Below are 14375 nucleotides of genomic sequence, written 5' to 3' on the forward strand. Positions count from 1 at the left end.
GCAGGCCTGGGACAGAGTGAGGGCCCCCCATCTATCACAATACCTTATTTTGCAGATGCAGGATTCACTTGTCCCAGGTCACCCACAAGCTCTGATGCCTTGACCAGCTCCCCTCTGCCCTACCAAAGGACAAATGAGGGAGGCTTCGATGGGGCTGTTAATGGGGTCATATCCCACAGACCCTAGAGCCTGGGTGGGGCTGAGAGGCTTCCCAAGCAGGTGGCAGTGAGCTCCCACCTGAGCTATGGCAAGTAGAGACCTAGGCATGAAATTGCTCCGAGGTCTGTACCTTAAGTTTCATGCAAGGACTCTCTCATTCAACATGCCTCTGTTTAAAGTCTGCCAGTGGCTACCTTCCTTGCACTAGAATTGCAAACAAATTCCTCACTGAGCTCTCTGCAGCCCTGCAGGCTCTGGCCCTCCCGATATGGCTCTGACTTCAATGTGCCCATTACTTGTCCCCTTGCTGACGGCCTCCTCACAATTCCACTTACTCACCAAGTTCTCTCCTGCCTCAGGACCTTTGCACTTGATGTTCTTTCTGCCAATGATGCTCTTCCCAGGAGGGCAGGCCCCTGTAGTCCCAGCTACTCAGAAGGCTGAGGTGGGAGGACTGTTTGAGGCCAGGAATTCAAGTTCGGCCTGGGCAACACAGCAAGACCCTGCCTCTAAAAGAACAAAATGCTCTTCCCAGACTCTACCCATGGCGGTTCCTCTTGCTATTTAGATCTTTGCACAGACAGGCCTCCTTCTCTCTCCCCCAGCCAAGGAGCCCTAGCCGTCACTTCACCTGCTAATTTTCGTCCTAGCACTTACTGCTCTAAAATTATCTTCGTCATGTATCTAAGCATTTGTTTGCTGTCTGTCTCTTCCCACCAGGATGCCAGCTCCACGACAGCAGGGACCGCATTGTCTCTGCTGATTCCTCAAGACTCAGCAAGGTGCCAGGTGCCCAGTAAATGAAGTTTACATGAAGCCAATGGAGTTTTGAAATCGAAAATGTTTCTCAAACTGCAAAGAAGTGGGCACAGGTGAGGGCTAATGGTGGGGTGAGGGTGGGGGCCTGGCCTGACGCTGGAAGCTCCTGTACGCAGGGCGCTAGTGTCCTCCCAGGCCGCACCGGGATCCCACCGCAGAGGCCCCCTCCCGCAGGCCGGCCAGCGGGCGGGGGGCGCGCAGTGGGGCGCGCGGACCGCCAGGGGGTGCTGTCGGGGCGCGCACGGCCCACCTGGCGCCCGGGGCCGCGAGCGAGCGCAGCCAGGCCGCCCGGGAACTTTTTTCCTCGCGCTCTTGCTCTCCTTCTCCCCCCGCGCGTCGCCCGCCCGCCCGTCCGCTCGTCCGCTCTTCCTGTGCGGAGGGGATCGCATTCCTCGCGGCACCCGCGGACACCAGGCAGGCCCGGCCGGGTGCGCGGCCAAGGCCCGCTCCCCGCGTCCCCGGGCGCCGCCCCCGCCCGCGGCTGGGCTCCGAGAGACGAGTGGGAGAGCGAGTGCAGCGAGGGCGAGAGGCGAGCCGAGCAGGCCGCCCTGCCCGCGGCCCTAGCGCCGGCGCGAGGAGGGGGCGCCGCGGCCCACCCTCCTTCCTGCCTGGCCGCGGGCCGGCCGGGCCGCCGCGCCCCGACCCCCATGGCCACCCAGGCCTCCGGGCCGCGAAGTCGCAGCGCCAGACCCAAGGCCCCCGAGTGAGCGCGGGCGCCGAGGTGAGCAGCGAGCGCCGGGGCGCGGGGGGCGCAGTGTATCCTGCCCCGGGGCGGGGGCGGCGCGAGGCGTCGGGATCCTAGGCCGGGTGATGAGCCGAGGCGGGTTCGGACGCCGAGCGCGCGCGCTGGGTGGAGATGTGGGGTCCGCGGGGTCCTTGCTTTGTGTGGTGTGGGGGGTGCGCGAGGTCACCGGATGGACGTCTGGGGAGCTGCAGGGTGGGGGCGCCCTGCGCCGCGGCTGAGGGTCTTCTGGGGGATGTGCGGCCAGCTGAGGTCGGGTGGGGGCATGGGGGCGCGAGGGGCGAGTGTGGCAAGGGATCTGCTTGCGCCGAGGCGCGGAGTCTTTGCGGAGCGTGGGGTGGGGACGTGGGGTGCATTCGCGGGGCGCCGGGGGCGGAGGTGAGCTTTGTGAGTGCGTCCGAGGTGGGGGACGGGGAGCTGACTTCCCCATGCGTGACCCGGGCCCGGCGTGGCCATCGCTTGGGAGTCAGGGCCGGCGAAGGCCGTGCGTGGCGAGATGGGTGCTCGGGCTCTCTGCGGTGTCCCTACCCGGGCAGCGGCCCCGGGGCCTGTGCGCAGGCCCCGAGGCCGGGCAGGAAGCGGCCCCCGCGACCTGGGGAGCTCTGTAGCGGCCAGGCCCGGGAGGCACGGGCCCTTCGGGGATGACGTCACGGGCGGGGGCCCCGGACACGCGAGCCTTGCGCCCCACAGACGGCGGCGCAGCCCGCCGCCCTTTTCGAGGCCGGCCCCCCCTCTCACGCGCCTTGAAGGCAGGGAACCCGGGAGGAGGACATGGGGGCCGAGTGCGGCGGGGACAAGGGGTGGCAGGACGCGAGGGTGACATTTGGAGCCTGGTCGCGCCAGGGGCCTCCGTGGTGGGGCGGAGGGGAAGCGAAACACCAGCCAGGCCCTAGGCCGTCGCGGCCCCAGCTTCCTGGGGCGCCCGTTTTCCCGGCTAGCAGTTTTCTTTCTTGGGGCTCTTGGTCGTTATCCAGTCCACGCAGGGGCCGGAGTGCGGGCTGCCGCGGTGCTCTCCTGCGCGGAGCCCGGGCTGGCGGGGGCGCGGCGGGCCTCGGGCTCTGAATGGATGGGAGCGAGTGTAACAATGCGCCGGTGGGGGCTGGGGGAGGGGAGGCCGCGCGCCTGAATGGCGGAGCCGGCCGGGCGCTGCTCCGCGCGCCGCACACTCTCCCGCGCCGCCTTCCCCGCGGTTTCGGCGGGCCCGGATTCAGGGACCCACTCGGGATCTGCACGGTTCCTCCCACCAATACTGTCCCCCGCCCCCCTTTTATGTCTTTCCAATGCAGTAGTGTGTTGAGAATTCAAGGGCATTACATCTGGTTGCAATCCAGTTTCATGCCGCTGCCGGGCTGTTAAGACCTCGCGCTGACGTCAGAGCAGGGGAATTACTTCTTTTTATTTTATCTTTTTTTAGTTGTCTGCTGCCCTGGGAGGAGAGGCGGGGGTGGGTTAGGCTAGCTCTGATGTGGAGGCGCCAGCGTGATGGGAGCCCCGAGCTGGGGGCTCTGCTTCTCTTCCTGCCCCTGCCCCCCTCCATTCTCCATACAGTCCTCGCTCTGCTCAGGGTCAGGCCCACCCCAGGTGGGGGGCAGCCCTCGCTGCAGACTGAATGGTGGCCCCTCCCTGCTGACCACACAGCTGGGTTTTCAGAGGCTTTCCTGGGACGTGGCCCTCGGGATCTAGAAACTGGAAAGGAATCTTCTAGTTTCCCACCCCTCCCCCTCTTGACAGGCAAGCCGGTATATTCGGGGCCCAGGAGCAAGGAAAAGTGGCCTTTTGCGTGACACAGAAGTGGACACATCATTCTGATCTCAGGGCAGGCTCAGCCCCATAACTCTGGCAAAAGCTCTCACAAGCAAAAGCCTTGGAGAGGAGGAGAATGTATCAAGGTGAGATCCAGGCCCCAGAAGCCAACTGTGGAGTGGGCAAAATAGGACCTTTCCCACCAGCCTAGCATCCCTCTGGCTTCTGTGGAGATAAAGGGAACTCAGGGGTACTGGAGCTGCCTTTCTCTTCCACTAGACTGTGGGGCTCTCATAGGCAGGGACCCTGTCTTACTCCTCTTTGTTTTATTTTTGAGACAGGGTCTTGCTGTGTGGCCCAGGCTGGAGTGCCTTGGCACAAACACAGCTCACTTCAGCCTCAACCTCCAGGGCTCAAGCGATCCTCCAGCATCAGTCTCCTGAGTAGCTGGGATCACAGGCGCCCGACACCACACGTAGCTAATTTTAAATTTTTTTTTTTTTCTAGAGACAGGGGTCTTGCCATGGCTGGTCTTGAAGTCCTGGGCTCAAGCGATCCTCCCTCTTTGGCCTCCCAAAGTGCTGGGATTACAGGAGTGAGTCACTGCACCCAGCCTTACTCCTCTTTAGACTCCCAAGCCTAGACCAATTGCTTTCAAATTCTTGCCCGTGACCTATAGTAAGAAATACATCGTAGGTAACTACACAGGTCACACTGTATATAGCTGAAACAAAAGTTTACTGAAATAACTCCCTTACTGTGTCTGCTGGTCTGTAATCCTTTTTGTTCTTGTGTATTTGTTTTTTTTTTAATTACTGATTGCTACCCACGAAATTAATTTTGCAATCCACTGATGGGTCATACCCAGAATTTGAAAAAAACAAGCCTAGGAAATGAATTTGCCATCTATTCATGCAACAAATGTTAATTGCAACCCTAATAATTCCTCTCATGTTAAACTACTCAAGTAACACTTGGATACTTGGGTGAAAAATGCAAATAAGCCAGAAATATATGTAGTAAAAGTAAAAGTTCCCTTGGCACCCTCCCTGCAGGTAACCCCAGTTAATAGTTTGAACGTATCCTTCCAGACTTTTTGTTACTCACTTAATGCATATATATATATATATATATATATATATATATATATGTATGTATGTATGTATATTACATATACCAATCCATGCATAGTTTTCTTTTTCCCCAAGTGAGGACATACTGTGGGCTCTTCCTCGGCAGCTTCCTTTTTCCTCTCCGTTTGTCTTGGAGAGGTTGGTTGTGTGGCGAAGTCCTTCAGGGCAAGTTCTGGGTTGACTCCTGGCTCCACCACATACTGAACAGGCCATTTACCTCTCTGTGCCTCAGTGTCCCCATCTTTACAATCAGGAGAATAACAGTACAGACCTCACGGTACTGAAGTAAAGATGCAGTGAGTTAATCCATATGAAGTTTAGAGCAGTGCTTTTGCCAATAAATGCTGATTGCTGCCGTCATTGTTGTATTGTTATTGCTGTTCTATCTCCATGGCAGCCCATGTTTGAAATGCATTGCTTTCCACAGCTGCCTGTGGCCATGGCATGGGTGTCTTTTTCCTCCCCTATCCAACGTGTGGCTCCACAGGGAGGGAGGAGGTGCAACAGCAACGGTGTGCGCAGAGCAGCGTCTCTGCGGGAGAGGCACCTGGGCACTGGGCCCAAGGGAACAGGGATTTTCCAAGGACCCACTGTTTCCAAAGTTCTGTGCTTAATGTCGGGGTCCAAGCAGGAAGCATCCCTGCACTTGACCACAAGAAGGTCACAGCCCAGTGGGTGATTGGGACCCAGCTCATAGCCAAGGCCTCGACCAGAGCTGGAGGCTTCCTGGAGGAGGGGCCTTTGAGCAGGTGCTTCAGGCACGGCGAGGTAAGAGTGAGAGGAGCATTCCTGGCAGAGGGAACACAGTGAGCAGAGCGAGTCTTTGGAAGCTGGAAGGGATGTGGCCTGTGTGCTGTAGCCAAACAAGAGGGGAGGACTTGGCTCAGAAAGAATGGTGGCGGAAGAGGTTGGGCTGTTGCTGGGACCTCCTCACTGGCCTCCCTGCCTCCATCCTGTCCCCTCCCAGGTGCTGGCCAGCAGCACTGTCAGAGCGATCGTTCTAAACCCAGCAGATAACCTCCAGTGGCTCCTGCTGCCTTATGAATAAAGGTCCCATCTGTAGTTCTTCCCATGCTGTCCAGGGCCATTTCTGGTGTCCTCTGCCTGCCCTGTCCTCATTCAGTCCTGTCCCCTCCAGCCACAGCTGGCACCTCCTTGTTAAGGTGCAGCCATGTGCATCCTTGCCTCTGTGCATCGGGCTGGGCTGTTCCTTCCACCTGGGATGCCCCTCACCTTCCTCCCTGCCGCCCCAGACCAAAACAGACGTCCTGTCTCCTCCTCCTCTGACCTCCGAGGCAGAATGAGTCATCTCCCTTTGTCTATACTCGTGGCATAGCGTTTATCACGGAATTATCGGCAATTCTGCCAGTGTCTGTCCTCCCCATGAGGCTGAAGCATCGAGGCCTGAAAGCACGTCTCCTTGCTCTCTCCGGCCCAGTGCCAAGGGCGAGGCCTAGAACACAGGACGCTCAGAAATGCTTCCTGGCAGGAGGGCCAGGTGAGGTGGAGAGGGTGAGAGCCCCAACATTGTCTCCCGTGGGCCCCTTTGATCTTTAGCAAGGGCATGCTCAGGTCTGTGTGGATCTTGTGCTGTCAGCCTTTAGATGAGTGGGGTGAGGGGCTTGGTGGGGTCGGGGGGCAGGGGGAGGTGGCGGGCAGCTTCCCCAGGCTGCTTCCTGAGGGGGCTGGGAGAAACTGGCTCATCCTGTTCCCCAGTGATTGAGGCAGAGCTGTGCCCTGTTCCTGGTGGGTCACTGGGGATCTGAGATTGGAATGTGACACCAGGGAAGGGGAGGCAGGGTGGGAGGCAGGGCTTGGAGGTACAGGCTGGGGCTTGGCTGGCAAAGGACAGATTTCGCTCCACTGGTTCTTGAACCCGTGTGTGTGTGTGTGTGTGTGTGTGTGTGTGTGTGTGTGTGCACGCGCGCGCCGGGGAGGGGAGAGATGGGGAAGAGAAAAACATGAGGGCAGAGAGGTGGAGTGGGGGTGGAGGACCTGGGGAGTGGTGAGCAGGGACAGGGAGAGATGGAAGTGGGGGGACGGCAAGGAGTGAGGGAGAAGTTCCTGCTGCTGCTGCTGGAGAGTATGAAGAGTGTGCTTAGGGCCAGGAAGGAAAGCAGCCAGGCGCATCGTCTCACACCACCATCAGCCATGCCTTCCTTCGTCTGTCCAGCAGACAACCCTAAGTGTTCTCTTGCTTGGCTCCATGCTTGCATGGCCCCAGACAGGAGCAAGCCTGTGGTCCAGGCTTCGCACCCTTGAAGTCTAGGGGCCAGGTGAACAATGAGCATCCGGTTTCTTTCTTTTTTTTGAGATGGAGTCTTGCTCTGTCGCCCAGGCTGGAGTGCAATGGTGCGATCTCAGCTCACTGCAACCTCTGCCTCCCGGGTTCAAGCAATTCTCTGGCTCAGCCTCCCAAGTAGCTGGGATTACAGGCGCCCACCACCACGCCCGGCTAGTTGAGCAACCTCTTTCTGCACAAAGTGATCAGGCTGGGGGAGAGAAGGTGCCCAGAATGCTGTGCAGAGGCAGGAGAGGAGGGTGGAGCAGGCGAGCATGGGGTAGGGGGCAGGGAAGCCATGTGTTAGGCACTATGGTGGGGAGCCAGGACTGCTGGGGAGTCTTCCTTTCCTCTCTGGCCTCGGTCTCATCTGTAAATGGGGGAAGAGTGGACTGCTCTTGCACTGATGGTCTGTGGACCCAAGTCACCCACTCCTTGGGCATGAGAAACCAGGGACCCCGTGGAGACAGCTGATAGAACAGGGACAGCAGGCATGCTCAGAGCGTCTGCAGGCCCATGGTCAGGGGGCTTGAGGGAGAACATGCAGAATCCAGTGGAGCTTGGGTTCGCCTCCTAGAGTTCCCTTCTTGGAGACTGTGCTCATCTGGAAGGCGAGATAGGGTCGGGGTAGGGGAAGGAGCACTGGATTCGGAATCAGGAAAAGTGGTTGAGTTTTAACTGCAGCATCCCTCGGGCAAGTCACTTTCCCTCTGTGAGGGTCAGTTTCCTCTTCTGTCAAAAATGTGAACGGGCTTTGTTGTAAGCATTAAAGGTGAGCTGGGGCGCCGTGGCTCACGCTTGTAATCCCAGCACTTTGGGAGGCCGAGGCAGGCGGATCACTTGAGGTCAGGAGTTTGAGACTAGCCTGACCAACATGGCAAAACCCCATCTCCACTAAAAATACAAAAATTAGCCAGGTGTGGTGGCCCATGCCTGTAATTCCAGCTACTTGGGAGGCTGAGGCACGAGAATCACTTGAACCCAGGAAATGGAGGTTGCAGCGAGCCAAGATAGCACCACTGCACTCCAGCCTGGGTGAAGGAGACTCTGTCTCAAAAAAAAAAAAAAAAAAAAAGTGAGTGTTGCTGTGTTTTGTCATCTGGAAAGCAAGGAGGTCCTATAGCTTGGGGCCATAAACAGGCTTTGGGGTCACACCAGCCTGGGTTCAAATCCAGGTACCAGCTGCTCACTGTGGGGCTCCATTTCCCTCCCCTTTAAAATGAGGATAATAGGCAGGGCGCGGTGGCTTACGTCTATAATCCCAGCACTTTGGGAGGCCAAGGCGGGTGGATCACTTGAGGTCAGGAGTTCGAGACCAGCCTGGCCAACATGATGAAACCCATCTCTACTAAAAATACAAAAATTAGTCAGGCGTAGTGTCACATGCCTGTAATCCCAGCTACTTGGGAGGCTGAGGCAGGAGGATCACTTGAACCCCGGGGGGTGGAAGTTGGAATGAGCCAAGATCGTGCCTCTGCACTCCAGCCTGGGTGACAGAGCAAGATTCAGTCTCAATGATAAATAAATAAACAAAATGAGGATAGTAACAGGCCCCTCCTGGTTGCTGCTGCACAGTTCCTCAGCTGGGATATCATTGCTGGGCTGTTAGGCAGTTGTTTTTTGTTTTGTTTGTTTGTTTTTTGAGATGGAGTCTCGCTCTGTCGCCCAGGCTGGAGTTCAGTGGTGCGATCCCGGCTCACTGCAACCTTTGTCTCCTGAGTTCAAGTGATTGATTCTCCTGCCTCAGCCTCCCGAGTAGCTGGGACTACAGGTGTGCGCCACCATGCCTGGCTAATGTTTGTATTTTTAGTAGAGACGGGGTTTCACCATGCTGGTCAGGCTGGTCTCAAACTCCTGACCTCATGATCCGCCTGCCTCGGCCTCCCAAAGTGCTGGGATTACAGGCGTGAGTCACTGCGCCCAGCCTTGGGCAGTTATTTTTATTGCTAAAGTGCTTTGTATGTAGAAGAGATCACCATTATGATTATTATTTTTTTTTTTTGAGCCGGAGTGTTGCTCTGTCGCCCAGACTGGAGTGCAGTGGCTCGACCTCGGCTCACTGCAACCTCTGCCCCCTGGGTTCAAGCATTTCTCCTGCCTCAGCCTCCCTAGTAGCTGGGATTACAGGTACGCACTACCATGTCTGGCTAATTTTTTTTTATTTTTAGTAGAGATGGTGTTTCACCATGTTGGCCAGGCGGGTCTCAAACTGCTGACCTCAGGTGATCCACCCGCCTCAGCCTCCCAAAGTGCAGGGATTATAGGCGTGAGGTGAGCCACCACGCCCGGCCAATTATTCTTCTTCCATTCATGCCAGGTCACATCTAACCCTTACCTGTAATAACATTGGCCAAAATGAGGAGTTTGGTGCTTATTTCTTTTCTAGCCAGGTCAAGGCAGATGGATTGAGTGGGTCTTTTTACACATGGGGCGGGTGAGAATTACTAGTTTTCTGGCCAGAGTTTCTGTATGTAAAGGGACTTTGCCCCAGTGGTGTAGGTGGACCCCAGGAAAGCATCCAGCAACTTGTGACTTTAGTGGCAGTATAACCACAAACTCTCATTCATTCGTTCATTTATAAATCACGTGTAGAACACCAGGGTACTGAGAAAACAGCCATGAATGAGATGCAGCTCTAATGTAGCATAGTGGGTATGCATATGTATTTTGGACTTTGCCTGGGTTCAGATCCAGGGTCTACCACTTGCGAACTTAGCCAAGTTATTTATCTCCTTTACTTGGTTCTGTCATCTGTAAAATGGGGGAACTGATAGAATCTACCTCATAGGGTGGTCGTTTGTTCAAGTCCAGCATCAGGTACATAGAAAGTGCCAGAGCATGGCCCTTCCTCCATTGTTGCTTTTATTTCTGCCCTGAAGGATCTCATGGACCAGCTTGGTGCTGGAGGAGGTCACCCTGGCCAGGCTTCTCAGTGACGGTTGGCATCCAGAAAGGGGTGCCAAAGCCCCCCAACTCCTTGAATCAGACCCTTCTATAGTGATCTAAAGCTGCTTCTCTGCTTGACTGTTGGGGCCTGATGCTGGGGAGGTCCTGTGAGGCCTTATTGACCTGGGAAAGTCCGCCTTTGTCTGGCGCCAGGTGTGCTTGATTTTAGAAGGAATTTCATTCCTAGCCGGGCACCGTGGCTCACGCCTGCAATCCCAGCATTTTGGGAGGCCGAGGTGAGTGGATCACCTGAGCCCGGGAGTTCGAGACCAGCCTGGCCAAACATGGTGAAACCCCATCTCTACTAAAAATACAAAAAGATAGCTGGGCGTGGTGGTGGGCGCCTGTAATCCCAGCTACTCAGGAGGCTGAGGCAGGAGAATTGCCTGAACCTGGGAGGCAGAGGTGGCAGTGAGCCAAGATGATCGTACCACTGTACTCCAGCCTGGGTGACAGAGCGAGACCTTGTCTCAAAAAAAAAAAAAAAAGGAATTTCAGTCTCAAGTATGAAAGCAGAAAGTGTTTCCTGATTGAGGACTCCTCACCAGCCGGAGGCAGCAGGACTGCCTGCCTCTGTGTGTCTTTAGGCAGGTTCCTCAAGCTCCCTAAGCCCGTTTCCTCCTTCATCAAAGGCGAAAGTAATAGTACCTATTTCATAGTTTTGTTAAGAGGATCAAATGAGATAGGGCCTCTAAAGCACTTAGCCAGTCCTGGGCACAGAATAGTGTGCTTAGTAAATATTGTGCCTATTAGTGATAATCAGAATTCTCAGACAATGTAAAGTAAAAACCACCTGAAAGATTTCTTAGGAGCTACAGCTTCATAGAGATGTGAAGTTGTAAACCTCCCAGAGCCCAAGTGGACAAAGAATTGTTACAGCAGCTGGAGAGACAGGAGACCCAGAGAAGCTTAACTCCTGTAGCAAAGTCACCCAGCATTCTGGCTTGGGGTGGGCAGGGATGGGGAATCAGAGCTGGCTTTCAGTCTGGTGCTCTCTGGTGCTTTGATAGTGATTCCTTCAGCAAATAGCTATGGGCAAACAGCATTGATGCACAGCTGAGGTCATATGGGCCTGTCTTCTGGAAGCTTCTGTTCTGATAGGGAAAATGAAATTTCTACATGATCATGATGAGAGGTAAAATAAAATCACATGTTCTATTAGAAGGGTAAAGTCATCGGGTATTCACTCATTCAAGGGGGCTCTGTGCCAGGCTGTGGAGCAGTGGGTCTCATTCGGGGGCGATCTTGTGTCTCAGGGGACACTGGGCCATGTCAGGAGACATTTTTGGTTGTCTCAGCTGGGGAGGTGCTGCTGGCATCTAGTGGGTAAAGGCCATGGATGCTGCTAAACATCCTACCGCACAAGGCAGCCCCCGGAACCACACACCAGCTGGCCCCTGATGTCCATGTGCCGAGGGTTGAGATCCCTGTCTTGGGAAGCAGCAGTGGCCAAGCAGATGGAGCCCCTGCCCGTTTGAAGCATAGAGCGTGGTAGGTGAGCAGACGTTACAGAAATGATTGCCTAGATATGGATTTATTTGTAATGTGAGCTATGAAGGAAAAGGTAGCGGGAAGAAAGAGGGATGCGAGCCCTTCTACTCTTTTAAGGGAGGGCCTTTGGGGAGGTCTTTCCAGCTGAGGGCACAGCCCAGGCAAAGGCTCAGAGGCAGAAAGTGCAGGAGTGTGTTGTGGGTGGGGAGGCTACCAGGCACCTGGTGTGTGCCCGGGGAGAAGTCAGAAAAAGGCCTGGCCTCGGGGGGCCCAGGAAGTGGCTTCCAGAGGTGGGGAGAAGGCAAAAGAGAGGACTAAACCCTTTAGTCTGTTTGAGGGAACTCCAGCCCCCAGCATGTTGCTCTCTGGGGGATCCAGCAGGGCCAGGTGGGCAGTGGGAGCACCCTAGCCCCAGGTGCTACCTTCCAGCCTGGGGCCAAGCCTTTTCCCTTTCTCTCATTTGCAGCTTTCTGATAGGTGGGAAAGAGAAGCAGGAAAAAAGAGCAGAGGAAAAACAATATTTTCATTTCAAACACAGATAGGGGTGAGGGAGGCGGGAAGTAATCTGGTTTATGATACCTTTGAGACAAGCACAGAAAATCCCCACCGTGGCCCGAAATAGCACTAAAACAGACGTTTTGCCAAATCAGACTTAATTGAGTGGCTCTCTTCTTGACTCCAGCAGGATGTGGCTGGAGCTGGCTTTGTTCCCTTGGGGTGACACTGTCCCCTGGGGCCCCTGCCCTGGCTAATTAAACAAAGAGGACCTGGTCTCCTAGGCAGGACAGGAGCCTGGGGAGCTGAACTTGACAGCCCTTGGCCTCTGCCTGAGAGGGCCAGAAATGGTTACAGGGGTTGGGAAGGTGGGGGGTTCCTGACAGGAGGGCCAACTGAGTGAAAGCATTGGTGGGAGAGGCCTGGTTCCTCTAATATGTGAATATCTGTCTCTTTGGATGCTGAAAGGGATGGAGAAAAGCCAGCATTGAGTGCCTACTATTGTGCCAGGCATTGGGTGGTCCTCGCTAAGTCTTATTAACTGCCCTATATCCATTATCAAGGAAACTGAAGCACAGAGAGGTTAAGTGATCTGCCTGAGGTCACACAGCAACCAAGTGGCAGAGCTAGGATTAGAAATCACATCCGCAGGCTCCAAAGCCAGGCCCTGCCTGCTGCTTACCCCCTTCCCCATGTTAGTCACTCATCCATTCGGGAGCTAATTCCTGGCTATGAAATAATATTGTGACCTTGTGGGAAGTGAAGGCTTGCAGTCAGACAGCCATGAGCTTGGCTTCTGACCAAAGCAGTTTTTCTTTTCATGGTTTTCTCCCTCAGAACCTCCTCTTTCCTCATCTATCAAGTGGGCATAATCATGCCTTTATCCTGGAGTTGCTGTAAGGGTTAAATTCAGCACAGAAAGGGATGGAAGGGGAAGGAGGAGGTCCTTGGGCCACCCAGCTTGGCAGGGTGCAATAAAAGAGTCCTAGGTAGAGGGAGCCAGGCAAGATTGCAATATCTCTGTGCCTATCAGTGTTGGGTTTCTTTATTTGAAAGGGGAGAGAGGGCAGACTCCACTCTGCAGGTAGAGAAGGTGGTGTGGAATGCGGGTATTTATTTTTCTTTGCCTGTGAAAGCCCTGTTTTCGCTCAGGCTGTGTAGGGCTTCCCGACACTGCCATGGGTGCGCACATCTGCACACTCTGGGGTGCCTGCCATGCAGAGGCATCTGCCCAGGGTGGGCACTGAGGGCATCCACCATGTGACGCCCCCGTGCAGCCTGTAAGCTCTCATCACAGTGCCTGGGATACCTGGGAGTCCCCAGAAAGAGTGAGGATGGGTGAGGGCCATGAAACCAGGGCATCATTCCTCCACCTCCTCTGATCAGGCCCTCCTGGTCCCATTCATCTCCTTATCTCCTGGCAGCCAGTGGGTTGCTGGGAAGGCAGGGGCAGCCTTCCTGATTGACAAACAAAACAAGCTTGATCACAAAAGGAGAGGGGAGACTGGCTGGGCCTCTCCAGCTCCCCTCCCCGTGCCCCAGGCATCTTTCTTGCTCCACCCAACTGGCACCCTACATTCTAAGATGCTGCGAGGGGGCTCCAAAGCCATTGTCGAAGGTCAGGCCACCCAGGCTAGGAGCCCCTTGCACTGGGGAGGTGGATTCAAGGAGTGATGGGGTTGCCATGAGGCGGCGCTTGCTGCAATGGCCGCCCCTCCTTCCCTTCAGCTGGCTGGGCAGGCAGCTTGGAGAGGAAGCCAGGCGGCAGGTAGCTGAGAAAGACATCGGATCCAGGGGGAGCAGCAGAGAAAGCAAACAAACAGGGCTTTGTGTGGCTGCAGATTGGCGGCTCAGAAGGGAAGCCAGGCCTGTGGTAGGGGGAAGGGAGAGGAAGGAACGGGAGACCAGGCCATTGCTCTGGGCCAGAGATCGGCGGCTGGACCAGCCCGGGCTGGGCGGCCGGGAAGTAGCGAGTGCCACTACGTGTGGACAGGCATCTGGAGTCACAGCCTGGCCGAGTCCCAGCTCTGCCACTTCACTCCTTAACAGATCTGGGCTTGTTTGCCCACCTAATCTGGGCAGTCATTCACACGTAGGACTCGCTGGCTTAGGAGGAGAGTCACCTGTCCTGGCCCAGTCAGTGTCTGCTCTCATCCTACCCTTGTCCCGTCATTGCTGGCAGGACACAGAATCAAAGGGATTCAGGGTCTCCTGGGAGCTGCTAGCCTTGCCGGGTCTCCTGGGAGGGCAGCGACTTCTGCTTAGATCTGTGGGCACTTTGGAGTCTTTGACCGGGGAGGCAGCCGTGCTGAGGGGAAACGGGTTCTCTGCCCAATAACGGATGCCTGGGGTGTAGGTGGGCAGAGGCTGGCATCAGGCCTGAGGAACCAAACTGCCCCCTCCTCGTCGCGGTGGAGACGCACGAGGTGCGGGGAGGAACATAGCCAGGAAGACGGGCCTTCCTGTGGGGAGGGAGGGGCATCTTTTCTGGGGTGTGAGTCACATTCTGGATCCCAGCGAGGGCAGCCCCCAACCTGGCCCACCTCTCAGAGGGCTGGGAGGGCCC

General features: G+C 56.0%; 1 protein-coding gene across 4 annotated transcripts in view, besides 9 other annotated features; it reads left to right on the forward strand.

The window, feature by feature from the left end:
• Positions 1085 to 1594: a silencer, noted in NCBI's record as "silent region_8246". NCBI's record gives its function as "represses an Ori minimal core promoter by ATAC-STARR-seq in GM12878 lymphoblastoid cells {active_cell/tissue: GM12878}" and the evidence as "EXISTENCE:reporter gene assay evidence [ECO:0000049][PMID:35858748]".
• Positions 1085 to 2088: a biological region, named in NCBI's record as "H3K27ac-H3K4me1 hESC enhancer GRCh37_chr17:17584813-17585414".
• Positions 1364 to 14375, forward strand: part of RAI1 (retinoic acid induced 1) — a 129996-nt gene continuing 116984 nt past the window's right edge. For 2 of the 4 annotated variants that reach the window (NM_030665.4, XM_047435153.1), the window contains exon 1: positions 1364 to 1699. The gene's annotated coding sequence lies outside the window, so the exon portion shown is untranslated. Of the gene's footprint in view, positions 1700 to 3451; positions 3610 to 3970; positions 6095 to 14375 lie in introns of all 4 variants that reach the window. The other 2 variants (XM_047435151.1, XM_047435152.1) reach the window with 2 other exon arrangements.
• Positions 1405 to 2006: an enhancer, noted in NCBI's record as "H3K27ac-H3K4me1 hESC enhancer chr17:17584813-17585414 (GRCh37/hg19 assembly coordinates)". NCBI's record gives its function as "activates a minimal SCP1, AML or CMV promoter by ChIP-STARR-seq in naive H9 embryonic stem cells {active_cell/tissue: H9 hESC(naive)}" and the evidence as "EXISTENCE:reporter gene assay evidence [ECO:0000049][PMID:30033119]".
• Positions 1625 to 1764: a silencer, noted in NCBI's record as "silent region_8247". NCBI's record gives its function as "represses an Ori minimal core promoter by ATAC-STARR-seq in GM12878 lymphoblastoid cells {active_cell/tissue: GM12878}" and the evidence as "EXISTENCE:reporter gene assay evidence [ECO:0000049][PMID:35858748]".
• Positions 1825 to 1904: a silencer, noted in NCBI's record as "silent region_8248". NCBI's record gives its function as "represses an Ori minimal core promoter by ATAC-STARR-seq in GM12878 lymphoblastoid cells {active_cell/tissue: GM12878}" and the evidence as "EXISTENCE:reporter gene assay evidence [ECO:0000049][PMID:35858748]".
• Positions 1916 to 2088: a silencer, noted in NCBI's record as "fragment chr17:17585324-17585496 (GRCh37/hg19 assembly coordinates)". NCBI's record gives its function as "represses an EF-1alpha promoter that drives an FKBP-Casp9 reporter gene in an ReSE screen in HepG2 liver carcinoma cells {active_cell/tissue: HepG2}" and the evidence as "EXISTENCE:reporter gene assay evidence [ECO:0000049][PMID:32094911]".
• Positions 2075 to 3024: a silencer, noted in NCBI's record as "silent region_8249". NCBI's record gives its function as "represses an Ori minimal core promoter by ATAC-STARR-seq in GM12878 lymphoblastoid cells {active_cell/tissue: GM12878}" and the evidence as "EXISTENCE:reporter gene assay evidence [ECO:0000049][PMID:35858748]".
• Positions 12862 to 13576: an enhancer, noted in NCBI's record as "H3K27ac-H3K4me1 hESC enhancer chr17:17596270-17596984 (GRCh37/hg19 assembly coordinates)". NCBI's record gives its function as "activates a minimal SCP1, AML or CMV promoter by ChIP-STARR-seq in naive H9 embryonic stem cells {active_cell/tissue: H9 hESC(naive)}" and the evidence as "EXISTENCE:reporter gene assay evidence [ECO:0000049][PMID:30033119]".
• Positions 13577 to 14289: an enhancer, noted in NCBI's record as "H3K27ac-H3K4me1 hESC enhancer chr17:17596985-17597697 (GRCh37/hg19 assembly coordinates)". NCBI's record gives its function as "activates a minimal SCP1, AML or CMV promoter by ChIP-STARR-seq in naive H9 embryonic stem cells {active_cell/tissue: H9 hESC(naive)}" and the evidence as "EXISTENCE:reporter gene assay evidence [ECO:0000049][PMID:30033119]".

Source organism: Homo sapiens, chromosome 17 (assembly GCF_000001405.40).
Source record: "Homo sapiens chromosome 17, GRCh38.p14 Primary Assembly".
Classification (NCBI taxonomy): domain Eukaryota; kingdom Metazoa; phylum Chordata; class Mammalia; order Primates; family Hominidae; genus Homo; species Homo sapiens.